The 16,710-nt window shown below is 44.9% G+C and overlaps 1 protein-coding gene across 1 annotated transcript in view, besides 1 other annotated feature; it reads left to right on the forward strand.

Moving 5' to 3' along the window:
- KIF26B (kinesin family member 26B) overlaps positions 1–16,710 on the forward strand; it is a 554,448-nt gene that overhangs the window by 144,902 nt on the left and 392,836 nt on the right. The gene's annotated exons all lie outside the window — the stretch shown is intronic.
- Positions 11,368–11,543: a silencer, noted in NCBI's record as "fragment chr1:245474556-245474731 (GRCh37/hg19 assembly coordinates)". NCBI's record gives its function as "represses an EF-1alpha promoter that drives an FKBP-Casp9 reporter gene in an ReSE screen in phorbol 12-myristate 13-acetate-treated (for megakaryocytic differentiation) K562 erythroleukemia cells {active_cell/tissue: K562(+PMA)}" and the evidence as "EXISTENCE:reporter gene assay evidence [ECO:0000049][PMID:32094911]".

A 16,710-nucleotide genomic window follows, 5' to 3' on the forward strand; every position in this document is an offset into this window, starting at 1 on the left:
ACGACCCATTTAATAGGCTGGCAAAGTGAGTCAGAGATTGCGAGGAGAGGCTGAGAGCTTCCTGGGAACATCTCTGTTGATGTCTTGAACTGGGTTCCCATTGTTCCAGCAGGGAAACTGAGGATAGCAGACATTGCAAAATGTCCTTCTGTGAAGAGACTTCTAGTCGTTTTGGTGAAAACACAGTGTCCTGCTGCCTAGCTGAAATCCTGGTATGGATAAGTTTATCTTATCATCTTTCTATTTCTAGTACTTGGCCCAGATCGTGACCTAACAGCAACTATTTGTTGAGTGGAACCTCCAAAGATAGCAGTTTCTTCTTGTGGGGAATTACAGTCTATTGATTTGCTCAATGCAAGTTCATTTTATTAAGATTTCTTCACCTGTGTGTTTATATAAATAGACAGCCAGGCAGTGCATGAAAGTGGCTGCCCGGCCAGAGTCTGGCTGGGCTGCTTCGTTCTACTCTGGGGATTGGACCCAGTAGAATTCTTGGACTTGGTGTGGAGTCCCAGGTCAAGCCAACTCATTACTTCTACCTCTCCTTTTTAAAAAGGGTTTTCTGTCTTTGGTTCAAGTTCCTCTTAAAACACAATCATCATCCCTTCATTGATAGAGGCACAAATGAATTATTTTTTTTCTTTTTTCTTTTTTTTTTTTGAGGCAGAGTCTTGCTCTGTTGCCCAGGCTATAGTACGGTGGCACGATCTTGGCTCACTGCAACCTCTGCCTCCCGGGTTCAAGTGATTCTCCTGCCTCAGCCTCCTGAGTAGCTGGGATTACAGGTGTACACCACCACACCTGGCTAATTTTTGTGTTTTTAGTAGAGACGGGGTTTCGCCATATTGACCAGGCTGGTCTCGAGCTCCTGACCTCTGGTGATCCACCCGCCTCGGCTTCCCAAAGTGCTGGGATTACAGGTGTGAGCCACCAAGCCCGGCCGAATTTTTAATTTTTTTATTGAAATGGAGTCTCACTCTGTCACCCAGGCTGGAGTGCGGTGATGCTATCTCAGCTCACTGCAACCTCTGCCTCCTGGGTTCAAGCGATTCTCCTGCCTCAGCCCCCCAGTAGCTGGGATTACAGGTGCGCACCACCACACCTGGCTAATTTTTATATTTTTAGTAGAGATGGGGGTTTCGCCATGTTGACCAGGCTGGTCTCGAACTCCTGATCTCAGGTGATCCACCCGCCTCGGCCTCCTGAAGTGCTGGGATTAGAGGCGTGAGCCACCACGCTCGGCCGAGGCACAAATGAATTTAAACCTCATTGAAATGACAGCGGATGGCCATGGCTCTACTGTGGTTTCCCTGGGCCACTTTCTTCTCCCGCCTTCCTGCCGCATGCAGGAGTGGAGGCCGAGGCTCCCTGGCCAGGCTGCTCTGGGTTATTACAGTGATATATCTTGGAACTGAGCTTGAGCAGGGATCCTCCTGTTTCCTGTTGGAATTGATTTTCTGTCCAACTTTCATTTCCTATTGTGCATTCCTTTGGGGTCAGAGCAGCTTTCTCAGACAAAAGCAGGGCTTTCTGTTTTGGAGATATTCCTGGCGTCTCTTCAGCTGCGTGTTTATAGAAATGGACAGCCCGGCAGTGCATGAAAGTGGCTGCCTGGCCAAAGTCTGGCCGGGCTGCTTAGTGGTACTCTGGGGGTTGGACCCAGTAGGATTCTTGGACTTGGCGCGGAGTCCCAGATCACCCTGTCATTGGCCCTGTATCTTAACTTGTAGGCACGTCTTCATCTGTCAGATGGGCTTTGTTCTCTGAAGCCCGCATCAGAGAGCTCTTCAGAAGAGAGGAAATGTTATATTGCTGTTATCATTTCAAATGCTTACCGCTAAGTGAATCTGGTTCAAAGCTTAACAGCCTGTGGGTGAACCGCAAAAGCTCAATTGGATCTCAAAGAAATCCCTGGTCAAGCCCTGTGCCTTCTAGTACCCAATTATTTATCAATAAGTGTGAAGATTGCAACCTCCAGATTATTCAGCCATTGTTGAGATGTGTAAAAACGGTATCCCCAGCACCTTGAAAGGCTAAGTAGGATCAACCCCCCAGTTGTTGTTCACTTTCTGTGTCCTCAGAATCCACTTTTGTTTCAGTCCTTCTAACCCATTCTCATTGTTTTCTGTCAGTGTTGGAATAAGTGGAATAGCAGGGTCCATAAACTCTACCACTTGATTGTCAGGAATGAAGAATTTGGTTTTCTCTGTTGTCATAACATTCGTGAGTACATCTGTAAGCAGGCATTTTCCCATCATCTTTCCCGCATTTCTAATGAATGTGACATCAGTCTATTTGCTGCTTCATAATCAAGGTCCTGTTTGTTGATATGTAATCAAAGCAACCGGATTATGTTTGTCAGTACGAGTCAGAAAAATCTAATATATATTTACTCTGATGCCATAAGGAGTGTCAGCCTTTGCTGGCCTCAATAATCTCGTCTTGGGAGAGAAAGCTCATAATGTGGTGAAGATACCGTTTTGGGATTATTTCTAGAACGTGATAGTTGTGCCGTGCACATACATGTCCAAATGCATTGAGTCATGTGATAGCATCCAGTTTTATGCAACCAAAATTGGACATTATATTGTTTGGATAGAGTGCTCAAGATGGGTGGTTCCTGGATAGAGTGTTGAAGGCAGTGGTGCCATCAATTCAGCAGCAAGGAACTTAATAGCTTTCTCATCACAGTCCTCACCTCCTCCCTCCTTTTTCTGTGTCACAGAAGCAGTAAGAAACATCGAGGAATTTCCCAACATATCAGGGAATTTGTTATTTCTTCTAAAACATAAGGAAGTACGTGGCAATATAAATGGCAAATGTGCGGGGTGCGGTGGCTCACACCTGTAATCCCAGCACTTTGGGAGGCCAAGGTGGGCGGACCAAGAGGTCAGCAGTTTGAGACCAGCCTGCCCAACATGGTGAAACCCTGTCTCTACTAAAAATACGAAAATTAGCTGGGCGTGGTGGCGGGTGCCTGTAATCTCAGCTACTCAGGAAGCTGAGGCAGGAGAATCGCTTGAACCTTGGGGGCGGAGGTTGCAGTGAGCCAAGATCGTGCCATTGTACTCCAGCCTGGGCAATAGAGCAAGACTCTGTCTCAAAAAAAAAAAAAAAAAAAAAAAAAGAAAGAAATGGCAAATGGACATTTACATGGTGATTAGAAAATTAGAATACACCGGGAAATCTGGGTTCTGTTCTCAGTCCTACTTGTAACACATCCACTGACCTTAAACACATTTCTTTACTTTGCTGCACCTGAATTCCCTTATCTGCTGTAAAATGAATTTGTTGAACTAAACTAAATGTTCTTTTTTTTTTTTTTTTTTTGCGACGGAGTCTCGCTTTGTCGCCCAGGCCGGAGTGCAGTGGCGCGATCTCGGCTCACTGCAAGCTCCGCCTCCCGGGTTCACGCCATTCTCCTGCCTCAGCCTCCCGAGTAGCTGGGACTACAGGTGCCCGCCACCACGCCCGGCTAATTTTTTGTATTTTTAGTAGAGACGGGGTTTCACCGTGTTAGCCAGGATGGTCTCGATCTCCTGACCTCGTGATCCGCCCGCCTCGGCCTCCCAAAGTGCTGGGATTACAGGCGTAAGCCACCGCGCCCGGCCCTAAATGTTCTTAAAGATCCTTTCCAGCCCTGACATTGAACTCAGTACATCAACTTACATGATTTATTCGCACAATCTTAGCAGAATTAATTTGGATTTGTTAATTGTTTGCATCTGGCTAATTATTGCCTGCACACCGTAAGACTATCTAACAGTAGTAGTTTCTTATATTAACTAAAGGTGCTGTGAAGGAAACATGGAATTCCCCCAAAATCAAAACTAAAAGAAACTTCTGCTTTAGAGCAAACACTGATAAAATATACATAAGGCACCCTAGCTGCACTGGGCCCTTCTGCCCTCTTCAGCAAGTCCTGCCTGAGGTGCACACAATTATTACTGGCTCTTGTGCCACAAAGTGACATCGTCTTTGGCTGTGACACCACATGAAGAGGGAAGGAGGTGTGAGACTGTGAAGACACTCAGTACAGGTGCAGCCTCCTCCACAGAGTAAATGTGATACTTCTCGAGTTAATGACTATGTTGGGAAGTTTTCCAACTCCACCATCTTCCCTGCTTCAACGAGGATCCCAGGGGGAAGCTCACAGATTTGCAGATCTTTTTACACTAAGGAAGAATAAAGCAGCATTCCAGTTGCAGGAGTATAAGCCAGCCACAGACCCAGGGGGCACATCTTACACTGTCTTTGGGAGAAAGAAAAAGTACTAATAACAAATAAATCTGATGGGATTTCAGATGGATTCCAGTCTCATTCTTTTGTGATAGCAGGGAGTGAGGTTTTGATATATTCCCTCTAGAGATGGTTCTAAACATGGAGACCCATCGATATCCAGGTATACCTCCTCTCCTCTCTGATCAATCCAATTGCTAAACAAGACCAGAGCAAGGCTCAGTAGTTGATGGCAAGTGCTTCTGCTAATTGCCTTGCGATTGGGGAATCAGGAGGATGTTTTTATTCAGGAAGGCATGTCTGACCAATGAAACAAAATGCAGTTGGTATCATTTTAGATTTGGCTCTTGAATCGTCAGAAATATGTGCCTTCACTAACTTTGAGGAGGAAGTATCCCTTCTCTTTGGGTATCTCTGGGAAGTTGCTTTATTGATTTTTCACCAGTTTGCAGACAAGCCCAAGTCTAAAAAAAATTCAGATGTAGCCTAATACTGCAAGCCTTTCTTTTATCTGTCTATCTATCCATCTGCCTGTCTGCCTGTCTGCCTGTCCATCCATCCATACGTCCATCCCTCCATCCATCCATCCATCCATCCATCCGTCTACCTACATGCCTGCCTACCTCAGCCTCCCGGATGTTTGAGGCTGCAGTGAGCTATGATCACACCACTGCAGTCCAAACTGAGTGATTCATGATTGCACCACTGGACTCCAGACCAAGTGACAGAACGAGACAGACCCATCTTTAAAAAAAAAAATGATTATGAGAGGTCTCAGTGCAGAAATGGCTTCCTCCTGCCCATTGTGCCAGCTTGCCCAGGCCCAGAGGTTGAGTCATGATATGAATGTGCTGTGTAGTGTCCAGCACCAGAAGTGTGGGTATAGTGGAGGAAAAAGATACAGAGCCAGAACCAGGACATGGAAACATTTTTAAGCTATATGTTTTTAAAAATCACCACCCCCATGCTAGAGAGAGGACTGAATTAGGTTTCTGTTTTCTCTCTAAAATTGATATAACAAAATTGTTGTCATGTGAAGAGAAAATCAAAGAGTATGCTGACAAAATATGTGGGAAAATCTAAAGCACAGGGACAAACGAAAAAAATAGATGACTTGGGACTATATCAAAATGGAAAGCTTTTTTTGTTGCAAATGGTACCATCCAGAAAATGACAAAAGCAACCCACAGAATGGGAGAAAATTTTTGCAAATCACATATTTGATAAAGAACCTGTACCCAGAATATATGAAAGACTCTTGCCACTCAATAATAAAAAGACAAGTCAATTATAAAAATGAGTAAAAGATTTGAATAGACATTTCTCCAAAGAAGATATACAGATGGCCAATAAACACATGAAAAGATAATTCAGCAGCATTAGCTATCAGGGAAACACAAGTCAAAACTACAATGAGATACCCCTCATTTATACTCGCATGGCTAGAATAAAAAAGATAAACAATATGAAGTGTTGATGAGGATGTGGAGAAATTGAATCCTTATACATTGCTGTTGAAAATGTGAAATGAGGCCGGTCGCAGTGGCTCACGCCTGTAATCCCAGCACTTTGGGAGGCCGAGGCAGGTGGATCACGAGGTCAGGAGATCGAGACCATCCTGGCTAACATGGTGAAACCCCGTCTCTACTAAAAATACAAAAAATTAGCCGGGTGTGGTGGCGGGCGCCTGTAGTCCCAGCTACTCGGGAGACTGAGGCAGAAGAATGGCTTGAACCCGGTAGGCAGAGCTTTAGTGAGCCGAGATCGCACCACTGCACTCCAGCCTGGGTGACAGAGCGAGACGACTCCTCAAAAAAAAAAAAAAAAAAAAAGAAAAGAAAATGTGAAACGATATAGCCCCTGTGGAAGAGAACTTGGCACTTTCTCAGAGAGTTAAACACAATGTTATCATATGACCCAACAATTCTACCCTTGTTATGAAAAAACATGTATCCACAAAACCTTGTACATGAATGTTTATAGCAACATTATTCATAATAGCCCCCAAATAGAAACAACCCAAATGTCTATCAACTGAAGAATGGATAAACAAAATGTGGCATGATCTATATAATGGAATATTACTTGGCAGTGAAAAGGAATGAAGTGTGGTTCATTCATTGAAATATTATGGTAAGTGAAAGAACCTAGACACAAAAGATGACATATTGTATGATTCCTTTGATATAAAGTGTCTAGAAGAGGCAAATCTGTAGATACAGTATGTAGATTCCTCATTCTCAGGGGCTGAATTGGGACGTTGCAGCTAATGCATATGGAATTTATTTTAGGAGATAATGAAAATGTTCTAAATTCGATGATGGTTGCACAACCCTGTAAATATACTAAAAAGCATAGAATTGTACAATATAAATGGATGAATTATATTTCAATAGAGCTGTTTTAAAAATATTGAAAACCAGAGATACCTGTCTGTGCTCTAAAATGTATCCACTGCCTTCTAGATACAGTCTAAACTCTGCAGCTTGGCTTTTAAAGCCTTTTATTTATATGGAATCCTCCCCACCCCCCACCATCTATACATTTGTAAACCTTACATGTTATTCAAATGCCATAATTCGTCAAACTGGATATGTTTTCTCCTTCCAGAAAGATATTCCTTCATCCCTCTTATAAGCCTTAGCACTGTCTGCCTTGCGTTATATTTATTTCTGTATCTGTCATATGATCTCTATCTGATCGAGAGCTCTTTAAGGCCGGGATGTCGGCTTGCTCATATTGGCATCCTTCAGGACACCTGACCCCTAAACTTATCTGATTGGTACGTGATACATTTTTATCACTGGATAGAATGAATGGGTTGTGAAATTATTAGATGTGATCCCAGATAGGATACTGTTTTTACTAATCTCTTTCACAAGGGTCTTTCAAGAACAATGCAGGATCAAACTTATAAAGAGATTTTTGAAACTCTCAAAACTCTGTGCAGGGTATTATTATTATCTGTAATCCTGGTAACTATTCAAATTAGTGTCAATTAACTTTTGGCTGCACTCTTAAGATTCTTTATCATCTACATTAGTTTGTCAGATGAGGTAATGCACTTTTTCTGGGTACAGTTGTCTTTGAAGAGATTGGCAGCGTTTCATAGTTGTAAACAAAACCGTCTCATATGCCGGACCGTGACAAAGAGGGACTAGGACGCCAGAAGCTCTGTGAAAACACTTAAATCCATTTCAGCGAGGAGGAATTGTGATCTGGTAAATAAATTAGTGTTCTGCTCTGTTCCTTGGCTCCTCTGCTAATGAATGGGCCCCAGAGATTTTTTTTTGTCTTGGGTGATAAGCCCCTAATATCTATTCAAGTTCAGCATAAAGCTCATTTTCTCTAGAAATCTTTGTTTAAAAACAGAATTTTTCCAGTAAATATATTTATCAAATTAAAAGTATTTCAGATACACAGAGAGTGATATAACAAACAAACCACCGCCTGTGTCTAACAAATGCTGGCTTTTTGTCATATCTGCTTTGGATGTTTTTTTAGTTGAAAAACATTTCGAAGATAGTTGAATCATTCCTTTCCTTCCCAAATCTCATTGCCCCTCCCTCCCTTTCCTCTGAAGCCACAATTATCTCTACCAGGAATCTCTCTCTCTCTTTTTTTTTTTTTTTTGAGACGGAGTCTCGCTCTGTCGCCCAGGCTGGAGTGCGGTGGCGCGATCTGGGCTCACTGCAAGCTCCGCCTCCCGGGTTCACGCAATTCTCCTGCCTCAGCCTCCCAAGTAGCTGGGACTACAGGTGCCCGCCACCACGCCCGGCTAATTTTTTGTATTTTTAGTGGAGACGGGGTTTTACCATGTTGGCCAGGTCTACCAGGAATCTTTAACTGGTTAATCTTTCAGTCCAACTTTGATATCAATTGTTAACTCTTGAGACCATTTTCTATTTCAAAACTGTCCATCTGACTCGTTTCTATTACTCTGAAATAATAGAATCTCAGAATTCTGTGATCTACCTTCAAGCCGATTAAATGGGAATTTTTCCCAGAGAGAGTTTAAACCGGCCTCTGGGTTAGGGGAGAAGTATAGACCCCAAAGACCCTTACAGAGAAATACTTGTCATCACGCTCCTGGAATTCTGGGAGAGGGAGAGGCATGAGAAGGCTGTGTGGCCTTGTCTTTGAAATACAGAAGTTTGGTGACGCCTGGAACATTTTTTACATGACAAATATGGTGAAATTTAACAGGCTATCAAAGTGCAGATCAGGCCAACTGAATAGCAGTTTTGGGGAAAATGACAAGGTGCTAGGTAGTGGAGAGAGGAAGATTAAATAACCTACTTGGGTCTATGTGCTCGTGAAGACACGCTCATATGTCTTCCTTGCATGGATACCTGCCTTGCTCTAAAATAAACTTGAAGTGTGTTTTTAAAAAAAGCATGTGTGCAGCCTGGGTAACATAGTGAGACCTTGCTTCTACAAAATACAAAATAAAAAGAGTAGCCGGGCATGGTAGCGTGCACCTGTAGTCCCAGCTACATGGGAGGCGGAGGCGGGAGGATCACCTGAGCTGAGGAGGTTGAGTTTGAGGCTGCAGTGAGCTGTGATTGCACCACTTCACCCTGGCCTGGGCAACAGAATAAGACCCTGTCTCAAAACAAGACAAAACAAAAACATGAATGGAACAAGAAAGAATCATGAGGTGAGGAAATGAAGGTTAAGGGAAGATGAGGATCAGAGGGAGTAACAGGTTCAGTTCTAAGATGAGGTCCGCATGTGGAATACATACCATTAGGCACGAAGCTCGGGCTGGAAGTACCCTACAGACTGCACCATGAGCTTCTCAACAGACAGTGGGTAAAGGAGTCAGTGACAGAATCTAGGGCTTTTAAGATAAAAGCAAACCAGTTGGCCAAGGAAGAATGGCTATTTCCAGCACAGATGCCTGAGGGCCATTTTTTCTGAGGATGTGGCTCTCACCCTTGATGGACAATCAGGACATTCTAGCAAATGTGCATTGTGCTCTAGAGGGGTGTGTGCAGGGAGCATAGCTGAGGGATGGAGGGGCTCATGTGCATCAGGATTGCCTGGAATACCAGGGATTATTAGTGCCAATAATGCTGTCAATGACGTTGTGATGGTTAATTTTCTGTGTCAACTTGACTGGGCCGCGGGATGCCCAGATATTTGGTCAAACGTTGTTCTTGGGTGTGTCTGTGAACAAATAGCCCTCACTGGTGCAGGTGAGTCTCATCCAATCGGTCGAAGGCCTGAGTAGAACTGGCCTTCCCGTGAGTCAGATGGAAGTCCTCTTGCCTGACTGCTCGATCTGGGACATGCTGCTTTGGGACTCCAGCTGAAACATCAGTTCTTCCTGGGTCTCAAGGCTGCCAGCCTTTGGGATGGAATGACGCCATCGGGTCTCCTGGTTCTCAGCCCTTTGGACTACCACTGGGACTGTGGTGATAGTCTCTCTTGGGTCGCCAGCTGGCCAACTGCAGATCTTGGGATCTGTCATTCTCCATCTTATGATAAATCAATAAATACCTCTCTCATTATATATATAATATATAATATGAAATAAATTAATAAATATCTCTCACTATATATAGTGATATATATATATTAGGTATATTTTATATATATGTATATCCTATTAGTCCTGTTTCTCCAGAGAACTCTGGCGAATACAGACATTCCATATGCAAAGAGAGGCCGCGTGGTCTTAGGTACTAGTTGTAAAATTATAATATATATTATATTATATATAATATTTAATATATATAATAAATCAATAAATATATATCTCACTATATATATCTCTTACTATATATATAAATCAATAAATATCTCTCTCTCACTATATGTATATATATCCTATTAGTCCTGTTTCTCCAGAGAACTCTGGCCAATACAAACACTCCATATGCAAAGAGAGGTCACGTGATCTTAGGTACTAGTTGTAACATTATAATATATATTATATATAATATTTATTTTATATAATAAATCAATAAATATATATCTCACTATATATAAATATCTCTCACTATATATACATATCAATCAATAAATATCTCTCTCTCACTATATGTATATATATATATCCTATTAGTTCTGTTTCTCCAGAGAACCCTGGCAAATACAAACATTCCATATGCCAAGAGAGATAGCGTGGTCTTAGGTACTAGTTGTACAATTATTTTACATTTGAAGAGGTAAACCTTTGGGTTCATAGGCTTTCTAACTGATGTCATGGAGTGGTGGGAGGGTTTTGTTTTCCCTTATCCATTAACTTTATTCTTAAAATAACAATATCACTAATAACATTTATGGCATACTTGTAAGCACTTCACATATATTCTCTCACTTAGCATCATGACAATATTCTAAGGGGACTGAGGCACTCAGAGCTTAGGAAACTCGTTCAAGGTCACCTAGCTAGGAAACGATGTGCTGTTTTCAAGGCCCTCATCTGAATAAAACTATCTTCCCTTTACTCTCAGCGGTGAAAATGGGGGAGAGATCTGTATTGGAAGCTCATTCAGATGTTGCCTTCTTTTGCACTCGAAGGCTTTGCTCTCTGAAGGCAGGAAGCAGCAGGCACGTGTGCAGGGAAGGCTGTGTATGTGGCATGTGCAGGCAGCAGCAGCAACGCGGGACGATGGGGAGAGAGCCCAGGGGAGGGAGGATGCCTGCAGAAGCGGCTGTGATGTGTGGGAAGCCCCGCTGGGCCGGCACTGTGGAAAGGTGACCTGCAGAGCCACAGCTGCAAATGAACCACTAATTTTCCCATCTCTGCTTGCAATTTACAAAGCACTTTCCTGGTGTCATGAGTAGCTCCCAAGTATCAGAGCAGGGATTGAAACTTAAGTTGTTTGACGCTACACTCTGATTTCCTCACCCCACCTCACTGTCTTGCCAGTTCCAACTGTACCCCTCAGGAATTTCTATCAGGAGTCTGTGTCAACATCAGCATGAAGCTGAAGAAGGAGAAAGGAAATGGGGCAACAAAGCACACAGATGTTCCTAAAAAGCAAAAGCGGAAGAGAGAAGCTAGACTCGCCTGTCTCTGGTTTTTCTCACCGCCTGATTGTTCCTTTCAGATGACCCGCATCTCTCGGAGCTGACCTCAGCTCAGCAAGGGTGCCTGTGACCCATGGAGCAGTGGCCACTATCTCTGCATTGTGGGAGGGTGGTCCGTGTTGGGTCTGCAGGGTCGTTGTCACAGCGATGAATGTGTAGATCTGTGCTTGCTGAAGCTCAGGCTGGTCGCTGTCTTGTCATCGTCTCCTGTTACACAGCTTTCAGGCTGCTTTTTTGGGGAAGTTAGACTCGCCTGCTCTTTTTTGGGGAAGTTCCACCTCACTGCAGCCGGGTATGGTGGTTTGCTCCTGTAGTCCTAGCTACTTGGGAGGCTGAGGCAGGAGGATTGCTTGAGCCAGGAGTTCGAGGCTGCAGTGAGCAGAGATCACACCACTGCACTCCAGCTTGGGTGACAGAGTGAGACCCTGTCTCTAAAATAAAATAAAATAAAAATAATAAATAAATAAATAAATCACCCCTTGGCCAGGCGCAGTGGCTCATGCCTGTAATCCCAGCACTTTGGGAGGCCAAGGTGGGTGGATCACCTGAGGTCAGGAGTTCGAGACCAGCCTGGGCAACATGGGGAAACCCTGTCTCTACCAAAAGTACAAAAATTAGCCTGGTGTGGCAGGCGCCTGTAATCTCAGCTACTCAGGAGGCTGAGGCAGGAGAACGGCTTGAACCCAGGAGACAGAGGTTGCAGTGAGCCGAGATCATGCCATTGCACTGCAGCCTGGGCGACAGAGCAAGACTCCATCTCAGAAAAAGAAACAAAAAAATCACCGTTTAACTCAGAATCAGCCACGCTGAATTGAGGTGAGGTTTTATGCATATCAGATTGAAGACCTCCTCCGGGGAGTGGTAGGCTGATGGCTTAGTCATCCTATAAAGAGCCCAGCATCTGACTGCACAGCTGGGTCTACCTACAGCATGGAGATGGCTATCTGGGAATAATGGGCACTAGAATTGGAGGATCCTGATGAACCACTTCCTGGCCCCTTGCTTGTGCCACCTCCCTTCCCGCCAGGTAAATATTGCTTAGACACCCAGCTTCTGATTAAAGCCACATGATGGAACTTGTCCTAAGGATGCAACTGATGGCCCGTGTCAGCTTGTTGGAGTTAAAAAATATATTTTAATTTGTTTAGCTCTCTGGGGAAATTATCTGAGCCTGCATGTGATAATCAACTTTCACATGAGCTTTCAAGAGACCTGAAATGATTTGAGCAACAAAATGAGATTTTTAATCTACATAAATACAGGAGTCGTTTGCCTCTCTTTTTGTGTGTATGCGAGAGGAGGGGAGCTTAAAACAATTCTAATTCATTCCTTTTCTTCTCCCCTAGGACACTCATTAGCAATGGTAGGAAAATGGTCACAGGAGTGGTACCTTGCCTCACATTCTCACACACATTTTCCCTTTGGACTTTAAACTTCACATCAACTCTTAAGGTGGGGGTGGGCGGTAGCAAGTGTTGCTTCCCCTTTTTATGGAAAAAAGTAGGTCTCAGAGAGGTTACGTGACATGCCCAAGTTCATGTGCTGGTGGGTTGCAGAGTCAGTTCTAGAGCCCAGTTCTTTTTGGAAACTGGATCAATGCTCTTTCTACCTCACCAGCTGTCTCATATTAATACTAGAGATACTAATGCAAAAACACTACCATAATAGTATCTGCAAGAGAACAAATTCAAGGGAAGATGGATGGATACTGGCCGGGCGCCGTGGCTCAGGACTGTAATCCCAGCACTTTGGGAGGCTGAGGCGGGCAGATCACGAGGTCAAGAGATCGAGACCATCCTGGCCAACCTGGTGAGACCCGTCTCTACTAAAAATACAAAAATTAGCCAGGCGTGGTGGTGCGCACCTGTAGTCCCAGCTACTCGGGAGGCTGAGGCAGGAGAATCGCTTGAACCTGGGAGGCAGAGGTTGCAGTGAGCCAAGATCATGACACTGCACTTCAGCCTCGGCGACAGAGTGAGACTCCATCTCAAAAAACAAACAAACAAACAAACAAACAAAAAGATGGATTGACACTGCACCTGCCTGCATCAGCCAGGCTAAGCTGGGTTAAGTTGTGGCTACACCAGATGTCTATGGCTTCACTGGTTTATGCAAAGTCCCCTGTGGGGCCAGGTCACTCTCCAGGGAAGATCTCATGACTTCCATGTCAGCAGGACTTAGGGTGCACTGAAGAGGGAAAGCAGACTGAAGAGCTTTGTCGAAAGGGTGTTTAAGTTTGGCAGCCCAAAAATGACAGAGAAGTTCATAGCCAGTCACAGCCTGTGGGCTGGCTCTAATTGTGCAGCCCTGCCCGATGCACGGGCGGTTGTGAAACTGTGTCTTCCGAGTGTGTAAGAAGGGGAGAAGACCCGGAAATACTGGTGACCACTAGCCATGAGCACCACATGGTCTGCAGGTCTGAGCGGTCAAAAGATCTGTTCTGTGGAGCAGGCTCCCCTTTAACCATGTCCCTGTCACAGATCCCGCGGCAAGCATTCACACCACCTGGAATTAATCGGGAAGAAAGTCGCAGTGTTTAGCAGATATTTCACAGATATAAACTGTGCGGTCTTCCTAAGTCTCTGCACATGATCAGCTGAAGATTGGGCTTCTTGTGGTGCACATACCATTTTCGTCATTAAATCCCCAATGACTCACCTTGTCCTGAAACTGTTAAAGCTCCTTAGCAAGACTGAGGCCCATCCTGATTTGGGCCCCGACACCCTCCCCAGTCTCTTCTTTCATGGCACCCCTCCTGTCATCTGGGTTTGTGAAGCTCCTTTCAGTCCTCTCAAAAGAGCGTTTCTCTCTTCCCCCTCTCGCTCTCCGCACCTGCTGTTCCCTCCGCTTTGAGGTATTTCCTCCTCACTCACGTCCCTCTTTGTCCAGGTCTCAGGAGGCCTGCTCTTGTATGTGAGTCCCTAGCTAGATGGCAAACCCCTTGGGGTCAGAGACAGGGACTCCTGGCAGCACTTGCCCTTAAAAACTTATATTCAGGCGGGGGGCGGTGACTCACACTTGTAATCCCAGCACTTTGGGAGGCCTAGGCAGGTGGATCGCCTGAGGTCAGGAGCTTGAGACCAGCCTGGCCAACATGGTGAAACCCCATCTCTACTAAAAATACAAAAAAAAATTAGCCAGGCGTGGTGGTGGGCGCCTGGAATCCCAGCTACTCGGGAGGCCGAGGCAGGAGAATCGCTTGAACCCCAGAGGGAGAGGTTGCAGTGAGTCGAGATCGTGCCACTGCACTCCAGCCTGGGCGACAGAGCGAGACTCTGTCTCGAAAAAAAGAAAAAGCAAACAAACAAACAGCCCTTACATTCAGCATAGGGCTTAGCTAATACATGGAAGCAACTGACTACTATGTGTTCAATAAGCAAATGAATGGTCGTGTGAATGGATAAATGAGGTCTGTGAAGTTGAATGCTTGTCTGGGTGAGGGGACGTCTCCTGGCTCACCCTCACCTCTGTTGGCTGTGCTGCAAGCTGTAGTCAGGATGGTCATTTTCCAGCTTTGACCATGATTGCTCTTGCTTTTGGTGTCAGCGCCTACCTGTATGGTGCCCTCCATTCGTCAGTTGCCTTATATCCCAGCACGCTTCCTCAAGAGCTGAAGAAACGTCTTACATTTTCATATGAAATCATTTTCAAGCAAGGTATAGATTCACATAATACATAATTAATGGTAAAATGCTATTAGCATTATGTACTTAAATTATTTGGCTTTAAGGCCAGGCGCGGTGGCTCACGCCTGTAATCCCAGCACTTTGGGAGGCCGAGGCGGGTGGATCACCTGAGGTCGGGAGTTGGAGACCGGCCTGACCAACATGGAGAAACCCCGTCTCTACTAAAAATACAAAATTAGCTGGGTGTGGTGGCGGGCGCCTGTAATCCCAGCTACTCGGGAGGCTGAGGCAGGAGAATTGCTTGAACCCAGGAGGTGGAGGTTGCGGTGAGCCGAGATTGTGCCACTGCACTCCAGCCTGGGCAACGAGAGCAAAACTCCATCTCAAAAAAATAATAAAAATAAAAATAAATTATTTGGCTATAATCCCCATTGGAGTTACTGTTTAATGGGTAGAGAGTTTCAGTCTGAGTTGATGAAAACGCTCTGGAGATGGATGGTGGCAACAGTTGCACAAAAATGTGAATGTACCTAATGCCACTGAGACCCACACTTCAAAATGGTTCAAGGTACATTGCTTGAGCCTAGGAGTTTGAGACCAGGCTGGGCGACAGAGTGAGACCTTGTCTGTAAAAGAAAAAAAAAGGCCGGGTGCAGTGGCTCATGCCTGTAATCCCAGCACTTTGGGAGGCCTAGGCAGGTGGATCACCTGAGGTCAGGAGTTCAAGACCAGCCTGGCCAATGTGGTGAAACCCCGTCTCTACTAAAAATACACAAATTAGCTGGACATGGTGGCGGGCACCTGTAATCCCAGCTACTTGGGAGGCTAAGGCAGGAGACTCTCCTGAACTCAGGAGGCGGAGGTTGCAGTGAGCCAAGATTGCACCACTGCACTCCAGCCTGGGTGACAGAGTGCAAAAAAAAAAAAAAAAGAAAAAGAAAAATATCAGTCGGGTGTGGTGGTGCACGTCGTGGTCCCAGATACTCAAGAGGCTGCTGACGTGGGAGGATTACTTGAGCCCCGTAGATGGAGGCTGCAGTAAGCCGTGATGGTGCCACTGCACTGCAGCCTGGGCAACAGATGAGAGAGTAAAAAATGGTTCAAATGGCAAATTTTATGGATACTTCGCCACAATAAAAATAAATTTCTATTAAAGTACATATCATTAATTCCACAAATGCAAATAGAATACCAATCAAAGGAAGTCCTCAGAACACAGACTGCACAGTAAAGTGTGGGCCTAACTAGACCACAGCCTGTTTCATGTCACCAGGCTTAGTGGATGACCGCACTGCAAGGAAAATTGCTGAGACTGAGTCATGTTTTGGTTCTCTGGCTGCTTCTATTTTTTTTTTTTTTAGATGGAGTTTCATTCTTGTTGCCCAGGATAGAGTGCAGTGGTGTGAACCTCCGCCTCCCAGGTTCAAGCGATTCTCCTGCCTCAGCCTCCCAAGTAGATGGGATTACAGGCACCCGCCACCATGCCTGGCTAATTTTTTTGTATTTTTAGTAGAGATGGGGCCTCACCATGTTGGCCAGGTTGGTCTTGAACTCCTGACCCCAGGTGATCCGCCTGCCTCGGTCTCCCAAAGTTCTGGGATTACAGGCATGAGCCACCGCGTCCGGCCCCTGGGTGCTTCTTATTTTGGAAAATTCTTCCCCAAATGAGACTAATTTTGGCTCAGTAGAAAAATTCTCTCACCTCTTGTCCCGAAGGTGAAAATCCACCTCAATGATTTTCAATTTTTTTTTAATCATCATCGGCCTCTTTTATTTTTTTTCTGATAGAATGTGCTTTAAG

This window comes from Homo sapiens, chromosome 1 (genome assembly GCF_000001405.40).
Source record: "Homo sapiens chromosome 1, GRCh38.p14 Primary Assembly".
NCBI lineage: Eukaryota > Metazoa > Chordata > Mammalia > Primates > Hominidae > Homo > Homo sapiens.